This window comes from Homo sapiens, chromosome 2, assembly GCF_000001405.40.
Source record: "Homo sapiens chromosome 2, GRCh38.p14 Primary Assembly".
Classification (NCBI taxonomy): Eukaryota; Metazoa; Chordata; class Mammalia; order Primates; family Hominidae; genus Homo; species Homo sapiens.
The window spans coordinates 30,621,020-30,644,501 of NC_000002.12; the positions used below are offsets into that span (position 1 = coordinate 30,621,020).

Below are 23,482 nucleotides of genomic sequence, written 5' to 3' on the forward strand. Positions count from 1 at the left end.
CTCAATCCTTATCTTAAATCTGCTATGATCCTATTTCCAAGTAAGGTTACATTCTGAAGTTCCGGTGGCCAGGTATCTTGATAGGACACTATTCAACCCACTGAAAGTCCTTATTTACCCCTCATGTATTGTTATTCTCCCTGCTTAAATTTTAGGATCAGTAACTACTCATCCAGATGTTGACTCTCATGTTCTAATTGAATTTAAACAAAAAGTTACTACTACAATGAATGTTTTGATGTTGCTGTGGAGTGAACGTTTGTGTTCCCCCAAAATTCCTATATTGAGGCCTCAATCTCCCATGTGACGTATTTATTAGAAGGTGGGGCCTTTGGAGGAAATTAGCTTATAAAAATGGAGCCCCTCATGAAAGAGATTAGTGCCCTTACAAGAAGGGATGGGGAAAAAATGGCGGGTAGGAGGCAGAACTAACTCTCAGCTCCGACTTGGATGGACAGAGCAGCCTGTAGAGACTCACATCGTGGGCTTTTGATCCAAGAAATACTGCAGAAACATAAAAGCTGAGAGAATCCACAGACCCTTTGATGGAAGCAGCTTGCTACTGCAGGCTCCGTGAGACAGCCAAAAAACTGTGAGCGACCAAAGTGTGAGAAGGGGAACCCGAAGGTCCAGATCTTGTGAGATGGATTTGACCTTACCTGGAGCTGAGATGAATTTAAGAGAGCCAAGCAAAATACAGGGGTAGAGGAAGCAGTGGGGAGAGCCCTGTGGGTACTCTCATTCCCAGGGAAGCCATTTCTGACTTTTTCTCACAGGGGTCCTTGGGGAGGACTGCCAGTGGAATTGGGGAAAGACCACAGGGAGAAGGAATCTTCCAGCTGAACTTTGTAACAACTTTGATGGAATGTGAAGTTTCCTGGACGGAATCTGGTGAAGATGGTGAACAGGGAGTGCAGATATGATCACAGAAGATGCGGCAGGCTGGGAGGTACAAAACCTGAAAGCCCTGCTTGCTTTCTCAGTGAGGGGGGTTGTAGCCTGGGGCAGGTTCTCAGCCCTGCTCACCGGCTGCCTGGAAATAAACCTGGAGCTATTGAGGGGACACGGCAAGAGTGAGACCAGCCTTTCAGGCTGCATGGGAACTGGGTGAGGCCTGTCACTGTTCCCTGGCGACCTGTGTGACACAGCAGAGGCAGCCATAATCCACCTGAGAACATAAGTCCATTGGCCTGAGAACCACACCCCCATCCCCCACAGCAGCCACAGCAAGCCCTGCCCAAGTAGAGCCTGAGCTCAGACCAGCCTAACCCTGACTTCACTTGATGGTCTTTCTCTGAGACCTGCCCTGATAGCTGAAGACAAAGGACATAAATTTCTTGAGAGCTCTGTTGTCCCTCCTACCACCTGAGAAACCCAAATACTTATCCAGACAGCCCTAGGGCAAACTTGTATCCTCCCTATGCCACCACAGCTGATGCTTTCTGGAAAGTGCCACCTCCTAGCTGGAGGTCAGCCAACACAAAAAACAGCACACTGAACAAAACTACAACCAAGGACCCTCACAGAGTCCGCTTCACTCCCCCAATACCTCCACCAGAGCAGGTGCTGGTATCCACGACTGAGACACTTGAAAATGGATTACATCACACAACTCTGCAAACACTCCCAGTCACCAGCCGGAAGCCTGGTAGCTCCGCTGGTTGGCTAGACCCAGAAAAGAAGTAACAGTCACTGCAGTTCAGCTCTCAGGAAGCCTCATCTCTAGGGGAAGGGGGAGAGCACCACATCAAGGGAGCACCCCATGGGACAAAAGAATCTGAACAGCAGCTCTTGAGCCCCCAATCTTTCCTCTGGCATAGTCTATCCAAATGAGAAGGAGCCAGAAAAACTATTCTGGTAATATGACAAAAGAAGGTTCTTTAAGAGCCCCAAAAGATCACCTTAGCTCACCAGTAATGGATCAAAACCAAGGCAAAATCTCTGAATTGCCTGTAAAAGAATTCAGAAGTTCGACTATTAAGCTATTCAAGGAGGCACCAGAGAAAGGTGAATACCAATTCAAAGAATTTTTTTTTTTTTTTTTTTTTTTTTGAGACGGAGTCTCACTCTGTCGCCAGGGCTAGAGTGCAGTGGCGTGCTCTCTGCTCACTGCAAGCTCCGCCTCCTGGATTCATGCCATTCTCCTGCCTCAGCCTCCCGAGTAGCTGGGACTACAGGCGCCTGTCACCACGCCCAGCTAATTTTTTGTATTTTTTAGTAGAGACAGGGTTTCACCTTATTAGCCAGGATGGTCTCGATCTCCTGACCTTGTGATCCACCCGCCTTGGCCTCCCAAAGTGCTGGGATTACGGGCATGAGCCACCACACCTGGCCCTAAGAAATTTTTTAAATGTTACAGGATATGGACAGAAAACCGTCCACAGAAATAGATAGCATAGATAAAAAACAACTTCTGGAAATGGACACACTTAGAGAAATGCATAGTACACTGGAAAGTCTCAGCAATAGAATCAAACAGGTAGAAGAAAGAACTTCAGAGCTCAGACAAGGCTTTCGAAATAACCCAGTCCAACAAAGACAAAGGAAAAAGAATGGGGGAAAAAAAAAACAACAAAGCGTCCCAGAAGTTTGGGATTATGTTAAACAACAAAACCTAAGAAAAATTGGTGTTCCCAAGGAAGGGAAATCTAAAAGTTTGGAAAACATTTGAGGGAATAATCAAGGAAAACTTCCCTGGCCTTGCTAGAGATCCAGACATCCAAATACAAAAAGCTCAAAGAACACTTGGGAAATTCATTGCAAAAAGATCATCGCCTAGGCACATAGTCATCAGGTTATCTGAAGTCAAGATGAAAGAAAGAATCTTAAGAGCTGTAAGGCAAATGCATCAGGAAACCAACCTGTAAAAGAAAACCTATCAGATTAACAGCAGATTTCTCACCAGAAACCCAGCAAGCTAAAAGGGATTAGGGTCCCATCTTTAGCCTTCTTAAAACAATTACCAGCCAAGAATTTTGTATCCAGCGAAACTAAGAGCTTCATAACTGAAGGAAAGATACAGTCTTTTTCAGACAAACAAATGCTGAGAGAATTTGCCATTACCAAGCCAGCACTACAAGAACTGCTAAAAGGAGCTCTAAATCTTGAAAAAATCCTCAAAATACACCGAAATAGAACCTCCTTAAAGCATAATCTCACAGGACCTATAAAACAATAACACAATGAAGAAAACAAAAAAGGTATTCAGGCAACAACTAGCACAATGAATAGAATAGTACTTCACATCTCAGTACTAACATTGAATGTAAATGGCCTAAATGCTCCACTTAAAAAATACAGAATGGCAGAATGGATAACAATTCACCAACCAAGTATCCGCTGTCTTCAAGAGACTCACCTAACAAATAAGGACTCACATAAACTTAAGGTAAAGGGGTGGGAAAGATACTCCATGCAAATGGACACCAAAAGTGAGCAGGAGTAGCTATTCCTATATTAGACAAAACAAACTTTAAAGCAACAGCAGTTAAAAAAGACAGTGAGGGACATTATATGATGACAAAAGGACTGGTCCAACATTAAACTATCACAATCCTAAATATGTATGCATCTAACACTGGAGCTCCCAAATTTGTAGAACAATTACTACTAGACCTAAGAATGAGATAGATGGCAACACAATAATAGTGGGGGACTTCTGTACTCCACTGACCAGACTAGACAGGTCATCAAGACAGAAAGTCAACAAAGAAACAGTGGACTTAAATTATACCCTAGAACAAATGGACTTAACAGATATTTACAGAACATTCTACCCAACAACTGCAGAATATACATTCTATTCATCAGTACCTGGAACATTCTCCAAGATAGACTATATGATAGGCCACAAGTCCCAATAAATTCGAGAAAAATGAAATTATATCCAGTACTCTCTCAGACCACAACAGAATAAAACTGGAAATCAACTCCAAAAGGAACCCTTAAAACCATGCAAATACATGGACATTAAATAACCTGCTCCGGAATGATTATCAGGTCAACAATTAGAAAATTATTTGAACTGAATGATAATAGTGATAGAACCTATCAAAACCTCTGGGATACAACAAAAGCAGTGCTAAGAGGAAAGTTCATAGCATTAAATGCCTATATCAAAAAGTCTGAAAGAGCACAGACAATCTAAGGTCACACCTCAAAGAACTAGAGAAACAAGAACCAAACTCAAACCCAGCAGAAGAAAAGAACCAAGATCAGAGCAGAACTAAATGAAATTGAAACAACACAAAATACAAAAGATAAATGAAACAAAAAGCTGGCTGTTTGCAAAGTTAAATAAAATTGGTAGACCATTAGTGAGATTAACCAAAAAATGAAGAGAGAAGATCCAAATAAGCTCAGTTAGAAATGAAATGAGAGCTATTACAACCAGGGCCATGGAAAAGACAAAACTGCTATCTGTAACTTACCAGAGACCTTCTACTCTCTAATTGTCTTACTCCTGAAGACAGCAGCTTGCCCCCTACCTCACTGATAATATCCCATCTTCAGCCAAATTTACTTTTCCTCTCAATGGAGAAAAGAAAGAAATTGTAGTAAACTCTGTTATATGCAAAATCACACAGAAAGATGGTAGGGAGATTAATAACATTAGACTTTATATTGGGGCATATTTTTACAGGGTTAATCTGTATTGTTATATATTTTGTAGATTTACAAGAATGTAATTTAAACAGTCTGCTATAGTTTTGATGGGTACAAAACCAGGTCAGTCTGACTCTGTAGCTCCTGTTCTTAATATGCCATTTTTAGAAAGTAAAGTAGCATAGTGGAAAGGCTTTAGAGTCATACGATAAGTGACCACTAACTGATCTTCAACAAATGACTTCTCTGTGGCTCAGTTTCTGCAAGTATAAAAGAAAGATAATTTCTCAAGGGCTCTTACGATACTTAAAAGTGACTGTGTGCACTGATAAACTGTAAGGGCAAGCATTTCTTTTTCTGTTCACCCATGTACCCCAGATGACTACAGCTGTGACTGGCACCGTGAGTGCTCTGTAGATAATTTGTGGCATGAATAATGCCTGGCACATCAGAGGCACTCAATAAATAGTAATAGCCACGTGCTTCATTAATCACCTTCAATCCTAACATCAGAACATAGAAACTATAATAATATGCTGTCTCTGGTCTCATTTATTTCAAAGACCAGCAAATTAGTAGATTATGCACATGCTCATGCCTCTTTTAGGCTTTTGTTGTTTCATTTGCAGGGGTTTTGGCAACTTGTAAACAAATTTGTTGGGCCCAACAGTAAGATAAAATATACTTTGTTACTGCTCTTGTTTTCACATTGAATTTTGAATGCCCTGTCTGAAAAATGATAATGAAAACAAGGTATATGAATGTAAAGGATTATGAGTACATGAATTTACACATGTATATATGTTGTATACAAGTCTTTGTGATTTTCTCACGTGTGTAGATTCATGTTTTCGTAATCCTTTAAGCTCTTCTGTATTTATGATTTTAGTTTACTGTATGTAATCTTAAATACTTATGCTTTTTCCCCTCAGTCAGATCCATAGGGTTTAAGTATCTTACTCATCTTGTCAAATAACTAACTTCTGCATTTATTTTTTAGTTTTATTATATTAAGTACTGCTTTTTATCTTTAGTAATTTTCTCTTTCTCTTTCCATTTGTATTCTTTTTTTTCTCCCTCTAATTTTCAATATGAGTAGTTTCTCTTTTTCAGTTTTCCTCTTTAGTAATGAAGCATGTAAGGTCATAAATTTTTCTTTCTATTGCAGTCTTCATTGTATCCTATAGATTCTCTTTTTCATTGCTTTTTAGATAATTCGTAATTTTCCTTTTGATTTTATCTTTTATCCATGGGTTATCTAAACTTTTTTTAAAAAGAGGAATATTTTATTATTTATTTTTATGGAATCTTGATGTGAGAATGTGCATCATAAAGTCTCAGTTTTTACAAAATGTGTTTAAATTGTCTTGCCACTAGGTAAGTAATCAGATTTTTTATAAATGCTCATGGTTACTGATACCTTTAAAATATTTTTGAGTATCAGATGGGTCTGTGAGAAACACACTCACCCATCCAAACCCAAAGAATGGACTTAGAGGCACAAAGAACAGCAAAAGTGAGACTTATTTTAATAGCGATCTTGCAAGATGGGGTGTCTGGTGGGCAGGCACACCCAGGCCAGCTACAACAGATAATTTATCTCCTAGCACACAAGTCCCTCCCCCAGTTCCCCATTGGTCGAGTACTCTGGGGTTACAATCTTCTCTGATGTCACCTAAGTCTCATTATCCGCCTTATAAGGTTATACCCTGGTCCCCTTCCCCACTTAAGTTTCGATTTCCCAATAACGAAACTTTCTTCGCTTTTAGAGGCTGACCCCTCCTCTACATTCTGTTTCCTTATTTTGTGACCTTCTAGGTGCATGAGCCATGCAGTTTGTTATGTTCGCAGGCTAGCTGCCCGTACTTAGACTTACTATGCCTTAAAAATGGACCATTTAAAATGTTTTCTCACAGGTCTGTATAAATCTATTAAGTCACATTTATCAATAGCTATTCAGTTCCTTTATTTAACTAGTTTTTATCACTGGAGTTGTTCAGTTATGGTAGAAATAGTGAAGCCTACACTATAATTTTATTATTTTTCAATTTCTCTTTGGATTTCTTTCTTTTTTCCTTTTAACTACAAAGACTGGTTCATACAGGTCTTTGACTAATATTTTCTTTTAAAAAAACATTCTACTCTTAGATGCTGAAAAGATATTTGATAAAGTCAAGCCATTCCTAATAAACACTAGGAAAATAAAATAGAAGTTAACTACTTTAATATGATTTTTACCAAAACTCAGCAGTCAGCATCTTATATGCTAAAGATCTCATTTTAAAACTCACATTTTAAATTCAAAACTTTAAGTAAATGTTAATGAAAGCAATAAAACTACCAAAAGACTGGAAAATTGACCATAAAACTGTTTTTGCTGCAATCTATAAGGTCAAAAAGTCTAGTAAAATTTCAATTACAATAAAAAAAATTTGTAAGTTGGCTATATATATACAACAATAGAGTTGTCCCTATTCTAGCAGTGATTACCTAAAAACAGAAATAGAAACACATGTTGTATTCACAATTATGTTCTATTCACAATTATGTGATAAAAATTATGAAATTGTTTAGGAATAAATTTTTTAAAAAACATCACAGAAGCTATGTGAAGAAAACTGAAATTTATTAGAAGACATAAAATAAGATTTGAGCAAAAGGAAAGAAAAAGCATACCATTTTCTTGGTTGAGAAGAGGATATAAAATTGCCAATTCTTCCAAAACTGTTATGTAAATATAATGCAAATGCAATTGCAGGACAGGTTTTTTGGGAGGGATATAAGGTATTTGTTTTGGAATTGAATTAAATGCTCTTCAAGTTTGTATTGCAAAACAGTTGTTCCAGGAGAAGCCAAGTATAGTTTGAAAAAGAACACAGAGGCACACTTGCTTTACCAGATATTGAGTCACTAAGGAAAACAGTGTGATCTTGAAGCAAGAATACTCACAGATCAGTGGAGCAGAAGAGAGAAGGGAAACTAGATATCTATATATGTGAGAATTTAATAAATGACCAAGTTGGTATTTTAATACAAGAGGAAAGGAGATCGGTGCCATAATTGAAATACCAACTTGGTATTTCAGTACAAGGAGAAACGAGGAGTTGTTTTGCTTGAAAAACTGATATCCATTTGAAAGAAAGTAAAGCTGGATTATAAGGCTAAAAGAAAAAAACGTATTTCATCTTTCAGAGAAATATAGGATACATGTATATTAGGGACTGACAGACAAAACTAGGAATCCAGAAGCTATAACAGAAATTTTCTTGACTAGACACACACATGGGTTGGAAAAGATGCCATGAAGTCAATTGATAGATAATGGATTTATAAAAATACTTGCAACACAGTGTACAGAGGACTAATAATCTGTGATAAAGAAGGGACTTTGCAAATTGACTAGATAGAGACAAACAACTTATAGAAAATGGATAAAGAAAATGAAGCTGCATTTACAGAGGAGCAAATCCAACAAAATAAACTCAAGAGTGGCTATATGGCAAAATTAGTATGTAGAAAACATTTACTCTATATATGGTAGAGGGTAAAGAACTCTTGCAAAGTCATAAGAAGATGACAAATAAATTATATTACCACAGTGTTTTTCCAATAAACTTATTTTTTCTCATCAAAGACATAAAAATACAAAATGAGGCTGAGCATGGTGGCTCACCCCTGTAATCTCAGCACTTTGGGAGGCTGAGGCAGGTGGATCACCTGAGGTCCGGAGTTCGAGACCAGCCTGGCCAACGTGGCGAAACCCTGTCTCTACTAAAAATACAAAAATTAGCCGGGCATGGTGGTGGGCACCTGTAATCCCAGCCACTTGGGAGGCTGAGGCAGGAGAATCGCTTGAACCCGGGAAGTGGAAGTTGCAGTGAGCTGAGATCGCGCCATTGCACTCCAGCCTGGGCAACAAGAGCAAAACTCCATCTCAAAAAACAAAAAAAAATTATATACTTGGGCAATTTTCTTAAATTACAATACCAAGCATTAGTAAGAGTGTGAAAAGGAAAGCACTGTTATACATTTTTGGTGTGCATTTAAATTGATGTTTCTGGTCAGTTTCCGACATGTAGCTAAAGCCTGTTAAGGTGTTCATATCCTTTTTAGTTAAGCTTATGAAGGTATCTATTTAAACGTGATTTTTGTGGAAAAAACTTAGAAATATGAAAACTTTTTTTAATGTGATATCTATATCATCAAATATTGTGCATCTATAACATGTTTTAGAAAGTCTTTAACAGCATCGATGGAAAGATGCACGAAAAATAAATTATATGACAGTATTACAGTATGGTTCCATTTCTAGATCTTTTTTTTTTAAGGTACATGTTATGTACGTATTTGTCTGCTAGAGAGGCCATAACAAGATAACACAGACTGAGACTGAGTGACTTAAACAAAAGGAATTTAGTTCCTCACTGTTCTGGAGGCCAGAAGACCAAGATCATGTGTTGGCGAGGTCAGCTTTTCCTGAAGCCTCTCCTTCATGGCTCGCAGATGGCCACTTTCTCACTGTGTCCTCACGTGATATTCTTTGGACATGAACATTCCTGGTGTCCCCTCCTCTTCTTATGAGGACTCCAGTCATACTGGATCAGGGCCTCACCTTTTTTGCCTCATTTAATCTTAATTACCTCTTTAAAGGCTTATCTCCAAGTATAGTCACATTGGGGGTTAGGGCATCAACATAAGAATCTTGAGGATACAATTGTCTATAACAATATCCACTTCCATAGGTGTTTTATGTGAATAAGTATCACCTGAACTTTGGGGAGGAAAAAACAAATGGAAGGATATATACCTGAAGGAAATCAGTTGGTATGATTCAAGTTTTTTTCTTCTATAGACTTAACTTGCATTTTCTTCATTTATCTATAGTAACTTCTATTACCTTTTGTAATAAGGGAAATATTTTTTGAATTCAGAGAAAGTATCACATGAAAAAAGTAAGTGATAATGCTAATATAAAATTTTATGTCTAAATATGAAGCACAGAGAAAACAGCCTTCTACTTTTTTCAAATAATCTTGAAGGCCCACATGTAGGACTATCTGTAGTTTTTTATGAACCCTGACTCTTCACCTGAGAGAAGTCCATTTCTCAGCATTGGCTTTTTAGGATGAATGGCATTGAGTCACTTAAAAGGGACTTGACCTCATATGAGCCAAAATGTACTTTGAAATAAAGTATGAATCTTTAAGGTGATACTGGAGAAATGCTTCCTTAGGGTCCACATATATATCAGTCAGAGATTTGCATGCTGTTAGGGTAACAGTAGATGGTAAATAGAACACTCAAAAGAAATAGAAAGCCTGTTCAAAAACAGAAAATGCCAAAAATTTCTCCTGTAAGTTGTAATTGATGATTAACTCCCACCAGTTGATACTGTATCAGTTAGCATACTTTAACTACTTATAGCCAAAAACCTGATTTAAACCAGGTTGAAAGGTAAGGAAATGCATTGACACAGCCACAACTTTAGCAATAGGTTATGTTTAAAGGTTAGATTTTGGCACCCAGCCATCTGAGCTAGGTCCTGGTACCTTCTATCTCCATTCTGACCTCTATGGTGTCAGCTGTATGTGGTTTTCTTGTGGCTTTCTGTATGTGGTTTTCTTAGGGCTTTCTCTTGGGAGCAAGACAACTTTCTCTAGAAGCCCTAGACATACTCCTCTCATGTCTCATTGTCCCAAATTGAGTAGTGAACTTATTCCTGAACCAGTCCCCAGTAACGGATATAGGGTTGCCATGATTAGCTCAGGTCAGTATCCTAAAGGCTATGTTTCTGTGCTATGGGAGAGGAGTAGACTGAATGTTAGAAAATAAACCACAGCATGCCCTACACCACACTTGGCATCTCTCACAAAGGAAATATTCAGGGTGCTGAAGGGCCAGTGTGATTATAATTTATATGATGCCCTTGAAGTATCAAGATGTTGCCAGATCCAGTAGAGGTCAATGTTTATCACACTTGCTAGGAAGCTCAGTATAGTAGCAAAGTTACTTTTCCTTTTATTTTTAATGCATTATGTGAAAAATATTCCTTGCAAATTTCAGATGTTTTCACTGAAGAAGCTTGAAATTAACATGTACTCAGCCTTGACTTTCCACGGTTTTAAATTGTAGAAATTATCAGTAAAATATAGACATAGTAGATAAGTACTGTTAATAGCTAGGCACTTGGGGCTATTCATTTTTTTATATATGAGAGTTCCAAGAGCTGTGATTTAAATTTCACATTGCTTCTTTAACTCCAGCCTCAGCAAGTGCATACTGTTATTCAGATTTTCAGTGATCTATTAATGTGTTAAAGTCAAATTTTGGAACATGTTGACATATTTTTATTCTATCTGGAAAATTAAACTTGTTTTGAAGATCCAGAGAACCAGTATTCATTGGGAGAGATAAACAGCACTGAAAAGATTCACCATTTATACAAAACACAAACAGTGCAACAGATTTAGGATAGAAATGTGAAAATAGGTGTCTCTAAAAATATGTGTAAAGAATCAAATTGAAATTGAATAAGCAAGACTGTTCACAAGTATACCATTTTTAGTTTTAACTTTCCAGCTGAAGGTTAACTTTGAAGCTCAAAATGGTTCTTATTTAGAAAAAGATTGAGTACTATCCTTGACTTAATAAAAAACAACAACAACAAAAGATGGGACAGGTGGCCAATGATCCTAGAGCACAGATCATCAACTTCCAATTCTGAATGCCATGGGACAACTTAAAATGTCTAAGGAGTGAGTTAGTAGGGATGGAGAGGAATATATGCCAGACATAATAGGGCTCAGAGCCAGAGTCAGTCCTCTAAACAGTTGCTTCTCCCTCTATGCTATGGGAGAGGAGTGGACTGCATGTTGAGAATAAACCACATCATGCCCTATAACAGACTTCATCTCTCTCAAAGGACAAGGAGAAAGAAGGAAGGTAAAGGATAGCAACCTAAATCTAAATTCACATCAAGTGGTAATGGTGATTATCCCACCTAGAGGAAGAATAATGATGATACAACAAGAACAACCTGTGAAGAGTATGTGCCCAACACTTCTCTAAGCACTGTAAAGTCCATATCCCATTTGCTCTTCACAAAACCCTACGAGGGTAGGGACTATTGTGTCCATTTACAGCCAAGGCTTATAGTGAGCATGCCAAAGCCGTAGAGCTGGTAAAAGGCAGGACTGAGAGCTGCCTGACTGCACCTTTTGTTCCTTAAGTATTCAACTTATGTAGAAGGGGAAATTAATAATGTTCCTAGTAGGAAACAATAGTATTTTAATACTCAAAGAAAATGGTACTGTTTGAGCCTTAATACCAGTTGGTTTTAAGTGCTTCATGCATACCCTTTTATTTTGAAGCTGAAAGGTATATTATTTATTGGTATTTTTAGTCTAAATATATCTGAATCAATCCATTCAAGACTGTTCTTCAAAATGTACTGACTAGTGCCAATCTGTCATGCTTTATTACTAGCTATGTACTGTTACATGTCCATGTCAACGTGGCACAGTGAATGATTGCTGAGTTACTAAATCCAAGTTTTATCTTCTTAGAGTAACTTTTCTTTTTAATTTGAAAAACAATGTACAAAATCAGCAGCCTCAGCATTTCCTTTCAACTCAAATGCATCTTAGATGACAAGCTACTTAACTCAAAACTCTAATCCATGCAGTTAGATTCATGAATTTAGATCTGGAAAATAGAAAATAGATTTTTATTTTAATTTTTTTAAAGCAGGTGTTAAAATGTAATCTTAAATAAGTTACATGTCGCCGGGCACAGTGGCTCACGCCTGTAATCTCAGCACTTTGGGAGGCCGAGGCGGGCGGATCACGAGGTCAAGAGATCAAGACCATCCTGGCCAACATGGTAAAACTCATCTCTACTAAAAACACAAAAATTAGCTGGGCGTGGTGTGTGTGCCTGTAGTCCCAGCTACTTGGGAGGCTGAGGCAGGAGAATTGCTTGAACCCGGGAGGCGGAGGTTGCAGTGAGCCGAGGTCACGCCACTGCACTCCAGCCTAGGGGACAGAGCGAGACTCCATCTCAAAATAAATAAATAAATAAAATAAGTTACATGTTTATATAGTCTGCATATATTTGATTGTGGAATGGAGAAAGAAAAATTTTAGTTGTTATGAGATCACTGAGTTAAAAAAATTGTGTTATTCTGTCATTGAACTATATAATTGGATCTGATACTTAGGCATGAGCAAACCAGGATTTCTTCACTGTACTATGCATGTAGAGACTACAAAAGCCTCTTTCCATTCTTTTGTTTTAAACGTACAGATGTGTAAGGATTTGGGCTCCCTCCCATTCTCAGTGAGCTGGGACTCTTATAATAGTCGTGGGCTCAGCTTGATGTGCTCAGAGACACTTCATGCTGGATATTACATTTGTAAAATTCAGTTATAGCCTGTAAGCTTCTGTAACTTAAACATGAATAAAGTACTCAAGATTTCCTCACTCTGAGACTAAAAATTAAGATTTGAAATATTAAGCAAGTGCTTCATTCTTCCAAGGTATAAACAACTATGGGCCCAAGTGAGTGTGGTTGTTCTAACACAGTGCTGGCTTTATAAAATATTAAAATATGAAACTTTCCAATAGTCACAGTGTCTGAAACAGAACGAACCCGTTTTCTAAAGCCCGTATAGACAGATGACAGAATAGACAGCATCTAGATTTATAATTTAAACCATCTGGCCATGCGCGGCGGCTCACGCCTGTAATCCCAACACTTTGGGAGGCCGAGGTGGGCCAATCACCTAAGGTCAGGAGTTTGAGACCAGCCTGGCCAACATGGTGAAACCCCATCTCTACTAAAAATACAAAAATTAGCTGGGCGTGGTGGTGTGCGTCTGTAGTCCCAGCTACTCGGGAGGCTGAGGCAGGAGAATCACTTGAACCCAGGAGTGGAGGTTGCAGTGAGCCGGCGACAAGCGCAAAACTCCATCTCAAAATAAAAATAAATAATAATTTAAAGCATCTAAAAAGCAATGAGATCTTTTAAAAATGGCTTTTACTGGTGACAGCCACCTTAATTTGCCTATTTAAAAGTCTGTTGTTTTCATGCCAAAAGATTTAAAGGCAGTATAAATCCTTCGTAACTGCAGGTACATTTTTTTCTTTACAGATTACAGTATTTTAGCCCAGTTATAAATGGTAAATGAAAGAGGCACATCTCAACTTTTGACTATCCATTTCATTATTGTCAGTTTCATATGAACCAAGCCCCAAGGCCATGCTAACCTCTTTCACCTGTTCCCTATACGGAGAAGCTCAGTTGTTTGTTGGTACTGGCTCCCTGTGCCAGAGGCCATGGTGCCAGAAGGTCTTGATAGGATATGAGAAATCAGTTCTTCTACCTGCACAGAATTTGGCTCTTCTACTCAAGAAGTACAGAGTTACATGTGGCTTTGTGGCTTTTGTGTTTGGAGATATTTACTTAATATAAAGCTTTAAAGTTATCAAGACAGGCCAGAAGTGGTGGCTCACATCTTTAATCCAAGGACTTTGGGAGAATGAAGTGGGAGGATCACTTGAGTTCAAGACCAGTCTGAGTGACATAGCAAGACCCCTGTCTTTATATATATATATACACAAATATATATATATATAAAATAAAAGTATCAAGATAGTCAACTCTCCCTCCTTGTATAAAAGCCATTCTCCATTTCCTCCTCTCTTGCTTTTGGAGTTAACACATTTTCGAGTCTCTATGATGCTTAAGGAAAGCCTAGGCTGCCAGCACTGCTCAAGGAAATGAGTGTCAAGGTGTAAGCTGTCTTTCTTCTCTCCACACCTAGTTCCCTTCATCACTTTGTCTTTTTTAGTTTCTAACATTACAGTGTTACTCTTTACTTGCTTATAATATAGATGACATTTTAATTAAATTATAATATCATTCTAAAGTTCTAGATTTTAAACAAGCAATTTTAAAAAAACTTTTGGAATATTACCTTTTTGTAAAGTGAACCCTTTCCCCCTTCACAAGATTGTTATAATTCTTTCAGAACCAAGACTTCATAGAACCCAAGTTGGAAAGAAAAAAAAATACCATGGAACAAGTCATAGAAATTGTAGTAGATGCTAACATCCAAAACTTACTATGTGCCAAGTACTGTCCAAAGAGCTCACTGTACATTAGTTCACCAAATTGTTAACACAACTCAATCGAGAGAGCATTATAATTATCTTCTATATTTTTAGATGAGAAGATAGCAGACTATACAAATATTGGTCAACTACTCATTTCTAGAGCCTTTTTAGTGGAGGGCATTGTGCTAGGTACTGAGTCTAAAAAAGCAAAGACATGGTCCTTGCCCTTAATGTACTTGAGCATCTAGTAAGGGCACAGGATGGCAACCAGGTACCCAAATGAGGTTATCAGTGTACGTGCTTTAAGCATTCACAGGGGGCAAGGCCACTTTGGGCCTTGGTACTTGAACAAGCTTCTTCTTAGAACCCTTGGCATTTGAACTAGACATTGAAGGGATTTGAGATGAAATACGTCAGGAAAAAAGGCTGAATATTTGAGGCAGAGGAAGTATTTTTGGCAATTTTGTGAAATATTCGTTAGAATATTTGTGTTGAGTAGGAAAGTTAAATTAAGAGGCCTCTAATTGGCATTCTCAGCACCCAGGTGAATAGTGCTGTTGACAGTGGTATGGAGATAGTATTGAAATGTGATTTACCCTGACTACTATGTTGGTATCAGTGGACTCCAGGAGGTAAAGTTAGAGAAAAAGGGTACAGCCTAGTAAACAGCCTTTATTGAGAATTTGCTATTTAAGCCTCACAACAACCTTCTTAGGTAATTTATAGATATAGGAACTAAGTAAGCCACAGAGATATTGAGTAACTCAGCAAGAGGCAGAGCCAGGATCCCAGGCAGTCTGTGTCCACAGCCCTCCCTCCACACTCGGTGCTGCCATGAATCTAGAATCTTTCATCAAGGAAAATTTCTCAGTGGTGCCATCAAACTTGCCATCTCAAAACTTGCCATTTCTGTACTGAACATTATAATCCCACAGACACACATGGTACACACACACCTTTACTATAGATCATCAAGAAGAAGGAAGAAAGAAAAGGGCATTCTTCTCACCATTTTGATACCAATTTGTAAAAACACATGACTGTATTTGATCCGTAAGCATTAGGAACCACCTGTATGAGAAAGGCTGGGCCATGTGAATGAGCTGTTCCTAAGATTTTAAGATTGACTGTGACACTCACGTAGAATGACTGAGTAGAGAGGTAGAAGGAGCTACATGGGGAAAGGAGATCGGTCAAGGCTGTTGTGAAAGGTGATACTGATGAAGACCTGTAATCCTGATTGAGGAGAGAAGTATTTACACAGATGTTAGAAGCAGAAGTATTGATTTCCGAGGAGTTTTGAAAGTAAATGAAATGTGAACATAGTCCTGAATCTGGCTAATTGGCATGACAAGTTACAAGAGGTAAAGACATCTTATTTACCTCCATGTGAGAGAAAGGAAAGGGTGAGTGGCACTGAGGAAAGGCACCTAAAACAAGGATTATGGTTGTGGTTGGCGGGCAGAAATGAATGGCCTCTGAGGTCTGCAGATAGAGAGTGCTCTAAAATATTAAACTAGCTTGTACTGTCTAGTCAAGGAAAAGCTTCATCTCTCATGAAGTAATAGAGATGAAAGATTGCTGGTTTTTTTTTTTAATGCAAGTGAGTTAACAGGTAAGACATATTAACATCTTAAGGAATGTATCATACTCAGTCTATCAGCAATGGAATAGGGTCTTTTTTAGATACTTGATCGGACAGCCCACCTTTCAGCATGTAAATTCCCACTGTAGCATACAAGGCAAGTGGTCAGCGCCAGCCCTTTCTCAAATGGTAAATAGATCACCTCTTGATAGCTCAGTCACAAAGCTTTTCCCATGGGCTTCTGACTACTGGCCCAGTTCTTTTTTATTGAGACGGAGTTTCACTCTTGTTGCCCAGGCTGGAGTGCATTGGCACGATCTCAGCTCACTGCAACCTCTGCCTCCCGGGTTCAAGCAATTCTCCTGCCTCAGCCTCCCAAGTAGCTGAGATTACAAGCGTGCGCCACCACGCCCAGCTAATTTTTGTATTTTTAGTAGAGATGGGGTTTCACCATCTTGGTCAGGCTGGTCTCGAACTCCTGACCTCAGGTGATCCACCCGCCTCGGCCTCCTAAAGTGCTGGGATTACAGGTGTGAGCCACCGCACCCAGCCCCCAGTTCTCTTCTTTGGAGCCAAGCAGGTCTGGCCTAGTCTCTCTTCAAATACAGCTCCACTGAAGCTTTCTTCAGTGAGGCTTTCATTTGCACTTCCTCTACCCCCTGCGAACAATATACAGCACTCCTGAAGGGCTGTCATTTCAACTTTGAATCTAAGCCTGTTGATGTAGGCATTTTCATTTATAAAGCAGCTCTCATTAAGTGCTGATTATTTTGTAATTCAGTTATGAAACCAAATTGAAGCCTGGTTCTTACCCTAAAGTAAATCACAGAGTAATGGAGACTGACAAACATTTGCAGAAAACTTGAATAATCATTTTTTAAAAAGTGAATACAACCTAACCTGTTCAGTGGAAAGGGTAAATGTGGGATAAGGTGGGGGAATTGCTTCCTATCTTTATTACTGCTATTGAGGTAAAATGTAAAGAGTGAAATGTGCATGTCTTAAATGTGCAATCTGATTTTTCTGACATATGTAAGCATCATGTAATCCACACCTGAATCTAGAATGTGTCACCCAGAAAATTTCCTTATGCTCCCTTCTCATCGTTTCCCACCCTCACAGGCAACGACTGTTCTGATTTCTATCAGCACAGATTAGTTTTGTCTGCATCATATGGTTCTGTAAGTAATCAAAGTCCTCATCAAAAGTTTCTCACTGAAGGTAACATGGTTCAGGAGAAAGTAACATTCAGAGACTCCGCAGCAACAAGCCGTGTGCCCTTGGGCAAAATTCCAAACTTCTCGGCCTCTTATAAAGAATTGGATTAAGTGATCCCCAAGGTCCCTTACAGGTCCAACACTCCACCTACATTTCTAATCTCTATGGCCCCACCATCTACTTGGTACCCTGAGCCAAAAACAAACCTGGATTGACTCCTCCCTGCTCCTCCTCCCCATTCTCCCACATCCAGTTGGCCACTGTACGGTGTCACATCCGTCTCCCACATCCAGTTGGCCACTGTACGGTGTCACATCCGTTCTTCCTTGTAACTTTTTTGGACATGTCTTTTTTGGCCCCTACGTCCTCTCCATTTCTTGCCTGCTGTATTGTAGTAGCCATCAAACTATTCTACCTCTTTTGCCCTTGGTCCTCTCCAAACCATTCTGGTCACTGCCCGCAGAGAGTAATCTTTGCTAAAATGAAACATATGGGTTCCTTCTGTCTGAAATCCTTAAGTAGTTCTCCACCATGTAAAATGCTTCTCTGCCACCTACAGAATTGAGTTTAAATTCTGAAGAATAACATGGGGTCTTGGACCACATGGCTCCTGCCCACTTTTAGTGTTCCCATCCCCACTGTGCTTTTCTGCCAGAACATTTGCTCTGCCACTACCCCACCTCATTCCTCTCCTTTACTAACACCTTACGTGTTCCCATAAGGTCTATTTAGGCCTTTATGCATGCCTGCCTCCCCAGTTACGTTGAGAACATCTTGAGTGAGGTTTAGGACCATGTCTTACTTGACTGTCTATCTCCAGCATCTAGCACTCTGGCCTGTTTAAGTGAAAACACTTTACCCCCTAAGTTAAATTCAGGATGACAGGATACAGGATCAGGGTCTTACTTGGAGTTCAAGTTTATTTATCTATTTATTTTTAAAGATGGAGTCTCACTGTATTGTCCAGGCTGAACTCCTGGGCAATAGCGATTCTCTCACCTCATCCTCCCGAGTACCTGGGCTTACAGGTGTGTGCCCCTGTAGCTCAAGTTGATGTTTTTTAAAATAAAAAAGTATATGGTAGTTTTCACATGTTTCTCACCACCTAAGTCTGATTTTAAGTTAAGTTTTTCTTTTCAGTAGCTATCGTGGTAACATTGGGTTAAAGGTGAGAAAGTCTACTTTTATTTGGAGAGATGGCTATATTAATAGGAGGTATCAAAACTGAATTCTATTGGTGTTTAAGGAGCTAGCCCTGTAATGTTTAATTCCCATCTCAAATTTGAGTTAATGTGCTTAGTAGTTTTAGAATGGCAGATTACTGTTTCTGCAAATGAAGATATTTTCTTTCTAAATATTTTGTGGTAATTAGCAAGCAGGAAATAAAACTAAAGATGACTGGTAAATATTGACCCAGGTGTCCAGGAACACCAGTATCTCTAACCCTTGTTTGTTCATTGTGGTTCACACTGTCCTGATTTTTCGGTTTCTGGTGCTGCCCTGCAGTGTGAATCAGCATTATCACCCAAATTGAGCACTGCTTAATCTATGTTTTCATCTTTTCGAAACCCAGGTAAGAACCTTGATGCTGTCCATGATATCACTGTGGCGTATCCTCACAACATTCCTCAATCAGAGAAGCACCTCCTCCAAGGAGACTTTCCCAGGGAAATCCACTTTCACGTCCACCGGTATCCAATAGACACCCTCCCCACATCCAAGGAGGACCTTCAACTCTGGTGCCACAAACGGTGGGAAGAGAAAGAAGAGAGGCTGCGTTCCTTCTATCAAGGGGAGAAGAATTTTTATTTTACCGGACAGAGTGTCATTCCACCTTGCAAGTCTGAACTCAGGGTCCTTGTGGTCAAATTGCTCTCTATACTGTATTGGACCCTGTTCAGCCCTGCAATGTGCCTACTCATATATTTGTACAGTCTTGTTAAGTGGTATTTTATAATCACCATTGTAATCTTTGTGCTGCAAGAGAGAATATTTGGTGGACTGGAGATCATAGAACTTGCATGTTACCGACTTTTACACAAACAGCCACATTTAAATTCAAAGAAAAATGAGTAAGATTATAAGGTTTGCCATGTGAAAACCTAGAGCATATTTTGGAAATGTTCTAAACCTTTCTAAGCTCAGATGCATTTTTGCATGACTATGTCGAATATTTCTTACTGCCATCATTATTTGTTAAAGATATTTTGCACTTAATTTTGTGGGAAAAATATTGCTACAATTTTTTTTAATCTCTGAATGTAATTTCGATACTGTGTACATAGCAGGGAGTGATCGGGGTGAAATAACTTGGGCCAGAATATTATTAAACAATCATCAGGCTTTTAGCGACAAGGAACACACACATTTTTCTTAAAGGCCCAATCCTAACAGACTCCCCGTACCAGAGGCAGATCTGGAACTCGTCAACAACAGCCCGGATCACATGCTGTTACTGGACTGCCCAGGTCACCTCATTGAGGTGAGCGCTGTCCCTCCAGGTACTCAGGCAGGTGGTGCCCAGGCTCCCTCCCTTGGCGTCCTTCTTCCTGCGCCAAACCCATCTCATCCTTAAGATCAGAAAATGGAACCCCCTTTGTCGTGAAACCGATCAAGCATTTTGACAGGAAGCCCTTCATTATTCATAACATTGTATGCTGACCAAGACGTCAGAAGACCACCTGTGCCCTTTTCTCTCGTGGAAGATAAAACCTGGACTCAGGGAGCAACCACAGGCTCTCCACTTTGAAACTTTAGTTTGAATTTTAAAAGATAGGAAGTAATACAGTTTAAGTTCCTTTCTCACACTCAGTATTGCATGCTTAGTGCTGGTTTTCTTACAACATTTTGGCAGGTGTAGCTTTTTCTGTTAAAAATGGTATACATGAAGTCACATACTTTTTTAAAGGAACACTCAGAACATTCTGTCATTCCAGTCAGAAACTGTCTTTTGAAATATTTCTTTACAACCTACCAAAAAAGGAAGGTTGTTTTTTCTACATGTGCTTGGGTATCTAACATCTACCATTAAAACAACAAATGGCTTGCAGACAGGGCAGTAATGGTTTATCCTAAATTACTCAACCCCTTGTAGCCTTGACAAATTTTACCTTAAAACCAAAATGAAACACAAAAATTAATCCTTAATAATGATAGCAAGTGATCTTTCTTTTTAGTTTTAGCCTTCCTTTTTCAATAGTAATATTTAAACCCACTTTTGACCAATTGTTTGCCCAAATATTCTTGTCATTTGGAGTCAGTGGAAAATCCAGCACACCAAGCACCAGTCTTCTTCTGAGGCAAAAGAAAAGTGTTGTCATTTTCACTCTGTTGGAGCTGCACACTTTTTTTTCTTTTTTTTTTTCTTTTTTTTTTTGTCGTGTAAGAAGGATGCTGGTCAGAGCTGCAGAAAATATGAGGCAATTAAAAGTCTTTAGCTGTTAGCAAACCTGTTAGTTTTACTTCTGCATTGAACCAGCCTCAGAAGCTACTTACTGCTTTATGTACTCTTTGGGCATTAATGCCTTCTCTGTAATTATATCTCGTTTTTGCTTGACAGTGACCTACCCAATAATTGCATCGTGCATTGCCATGAAAGGTAAACACATTGTGAACTGAACTTACCAAGCAGATTCTGTGAGAAAGCACTGGTTGAGGCTGAACACTGTTGACACATCATTTTTATTGGAAGAGTATTAACTGGTGCCTCTTCTGAAACACACCAACCCATATTCCTCTGCTCCCCCAAAGCTGTTTCTGATCCTGCTGGGAGCAACTAACTAGTTATTATGCACATCTGCTCCAGACCCAGCTCTTTAACTTCATGGTTTTACAGCTTGTTTTTTCTTTTTCTTTTCTTTTTTTTTTTTTTTTTTTAAAAAAGCACCTTTTTTTGTTGTTTCCCCTTAATAAAAGAGGTTTCTAATTTATGTTTCTCTAAGATTTCCTTTGGTTGTATTTAGAAACACAAATAGTTTTATAATCAGGATTGCATTTGTGCTGGGTAAAAGAGGAGAGCTGTGCTTTCTACCCCAAAGTTGTTGGTAATGGAGCCGGTCTGCCCTTCCTACAAACTCAAGAGGCTCATTGTTCAAGGTGTAACAACATTTAATTGCATGTCCTCTAACGCTTTGAAACCTTTAGAGGGAAGATCCTCATTTTTTACAATTTTGTTCCTTTTCATCATAGAAAACATGTTTAAGATAAAATACAAACTTTACCTACCCCAAATTCATAAAGTACATTTAGTGCTGTATAGCACTAAAACTTAGAGATACAGACACTGTACTTACTTTTTAAGAATTAGAGACAGTAACTCCAAAAATAATTGTCCTTTTTTCTTTCTTTCTTTTTTTACAATAAGGCTCTTGAAAATTGTCATTACTTGTGTTTTCCTATACATTCATCTGTGTGAAAGCCTTTTTCTTCTTTGATTTAAAAAAATTAACTATACAGTTAATGGTTTAGAACTTAGAACTACTTAGAATTAATGCTAAAGTGTCAGGAAGAAATTAATTTAGCTTCAATAATTGTGACTGGCCTCAGGAATTCTCCCTTCCACACCTGCCCACCTCACCTCACTGCACCGCACCGCACCAGAGCCAGAGCAGCTGCTTGTCTGCAGCAGGACACAGTTCCTACATACGTTTCAGTTCTTTCATGGTAAGCTCAATGGACTTTGAATTGTTTACAGTGCTGTATGTCCAATTGTTAAATGTACCATTCTGAACGATGTTAAAGCAAGTGTGGTTTATTTATGGCATGAACCATGTAACTTGAAATATGAACTTACAAGGAGGGGCACTCATTAGGTAACAAGTTCTTACACCAAACTTCCTTGATGAAATAAGCCAAAATAATCCTAAAATTCATTAGAAGAACTTGATAAAAGACTCAAATAAATGTTAGAAAGAGCCCGTAATTTTAGGACTCCTATAAAATTCTTCCTTGTTTGTTAATGCTATTAAAACTCAGATTCAAGGGAAATACCAGCTTCCACTTGAGTCACTTTGAAATAGTTAATTCAACAGCACCATGTTAGAAATATATTGGCAGCCAAGACTCTGAACTCTGCAGAAACATTTGTTTCACCCAGACTTCAAACTCTAGCCCTGACTATGATGCCCCTGTGTGCATTTACAATAAAGACTCCAACGGAGGGAGCCTGTTGGTGTTAAATTGTTTACATTTCTTTATACAAATAATGTGCTTTCAGTGCCTTAGTTACAGCTCCCTTTCTGTTTCTTGTTCCAAGGATTCTGTAGTATGTAGTGTGTTTCTTAGGTAAAGTCTCTTTTTGCTACTGAAAGGGAAATGGTCTCTAAACACTGGTCACTGTAGCAGGTAAACACTACTCTAACGTGGAGAAATGAGCTTCATGCTGAGGTAGTGGTTGCCTTAGAGCTGTTATTTATGCTGTAGAAAACGAAAATGGTTTTGCTACCTGATAAGCTTCAGATTAGATATAGCCCTAAAGTTATCCTGTACCTGCATTAAATTTTCATTTTAGAAGAGAATCTTGGTTTTGGTAATTCATTTTTTTTTAAGATCATTATGTGCAAAACACCAAGTTTTAAAAATAACTCACAGAATGGCCTTAGTTTTCAATGTCTGATGGTATATTTGTGAGTTGTGTTATCTGTAATATACATCCCAGAATAAAGGAGTGAATTAAATAGTTTACATGTGTGTTACGTTCTGTTTTTGCAGGAATAACAAGTAACTGCAAGTTAAGGTGCTACTTTTTTCCCCACAATGCCTTGCATTGCAGTGTCTAGTGTTAAGGAAAAACCTGGCCAGTTAGGTCTCTTTTTTCCACAGATGTCAAGAAAAGTGGCCTAATCAAGAAAACAATGTACTACCTCCATAATAGGAAAAGTCCAGGCACCACAATTGAATTAAGGACTCAACGAATGTCATCAGAACTTGATTTTCCTCCATCTCTTAGCACAGCCTTGC

General features: G+C 38.7%; 1 protein-coding gene across 9 annotated transcripts in view, besides 2 other annotated features; it reads left to right on the top strand.

The window, feature by feature from the left end:
- LCLAT1 (lysocardiolipin acyltransferase 1) overlaps positions 1–23,206 on the top strand; it is a 196,980-nt gene extending 173,774 nt beyond the window's left edge. For all 9 annotated transcript variants that reach the window (NM_182551.5, XM_005264245.4, NM_001304446.2 and 6 more), the window contains one exon: positions 19,098–23,206. In NM_182551.5, coding sequence (NP_872357.2) covers positions 19,098–19,600 — 503 coding nt within the window. In that variant the 3' untranslated portion in view covers positions 19,601–23,206. The remainder of the gene's footprint in view (positions 1–19,097) is intronic.
- Positions 4,350–4,550: a silencer, noted in NCBI's record as "peak3643 fragment used in MPRA reporter construct". NCBI's record gives its function as "represses an SCP1 promoter by STARR-seq MPRAs in K562 erythroleukemia cells {active_cell/tissue: K562}" and the evidence as "EXISTENCE:reporter gene assay evidence [ECO:0000049][PMID:32103011]".
- Positions 6,178–6,517: an enhancer, noted in NCBI's record as "active region_15548". NCBI's record gives its function as "activates an Ori minimal core promoter by ATAC-STARR-seq in GM12878 lymphoblastoid cells {active_cell/tissue: GM12878}" and the evidence as "EXISTENCE:reporter gene assay evidence [ECO:0000049][PMID:35858748]".
- Positions 23,207–23,482: the final 276 nt, after the last annotated feature.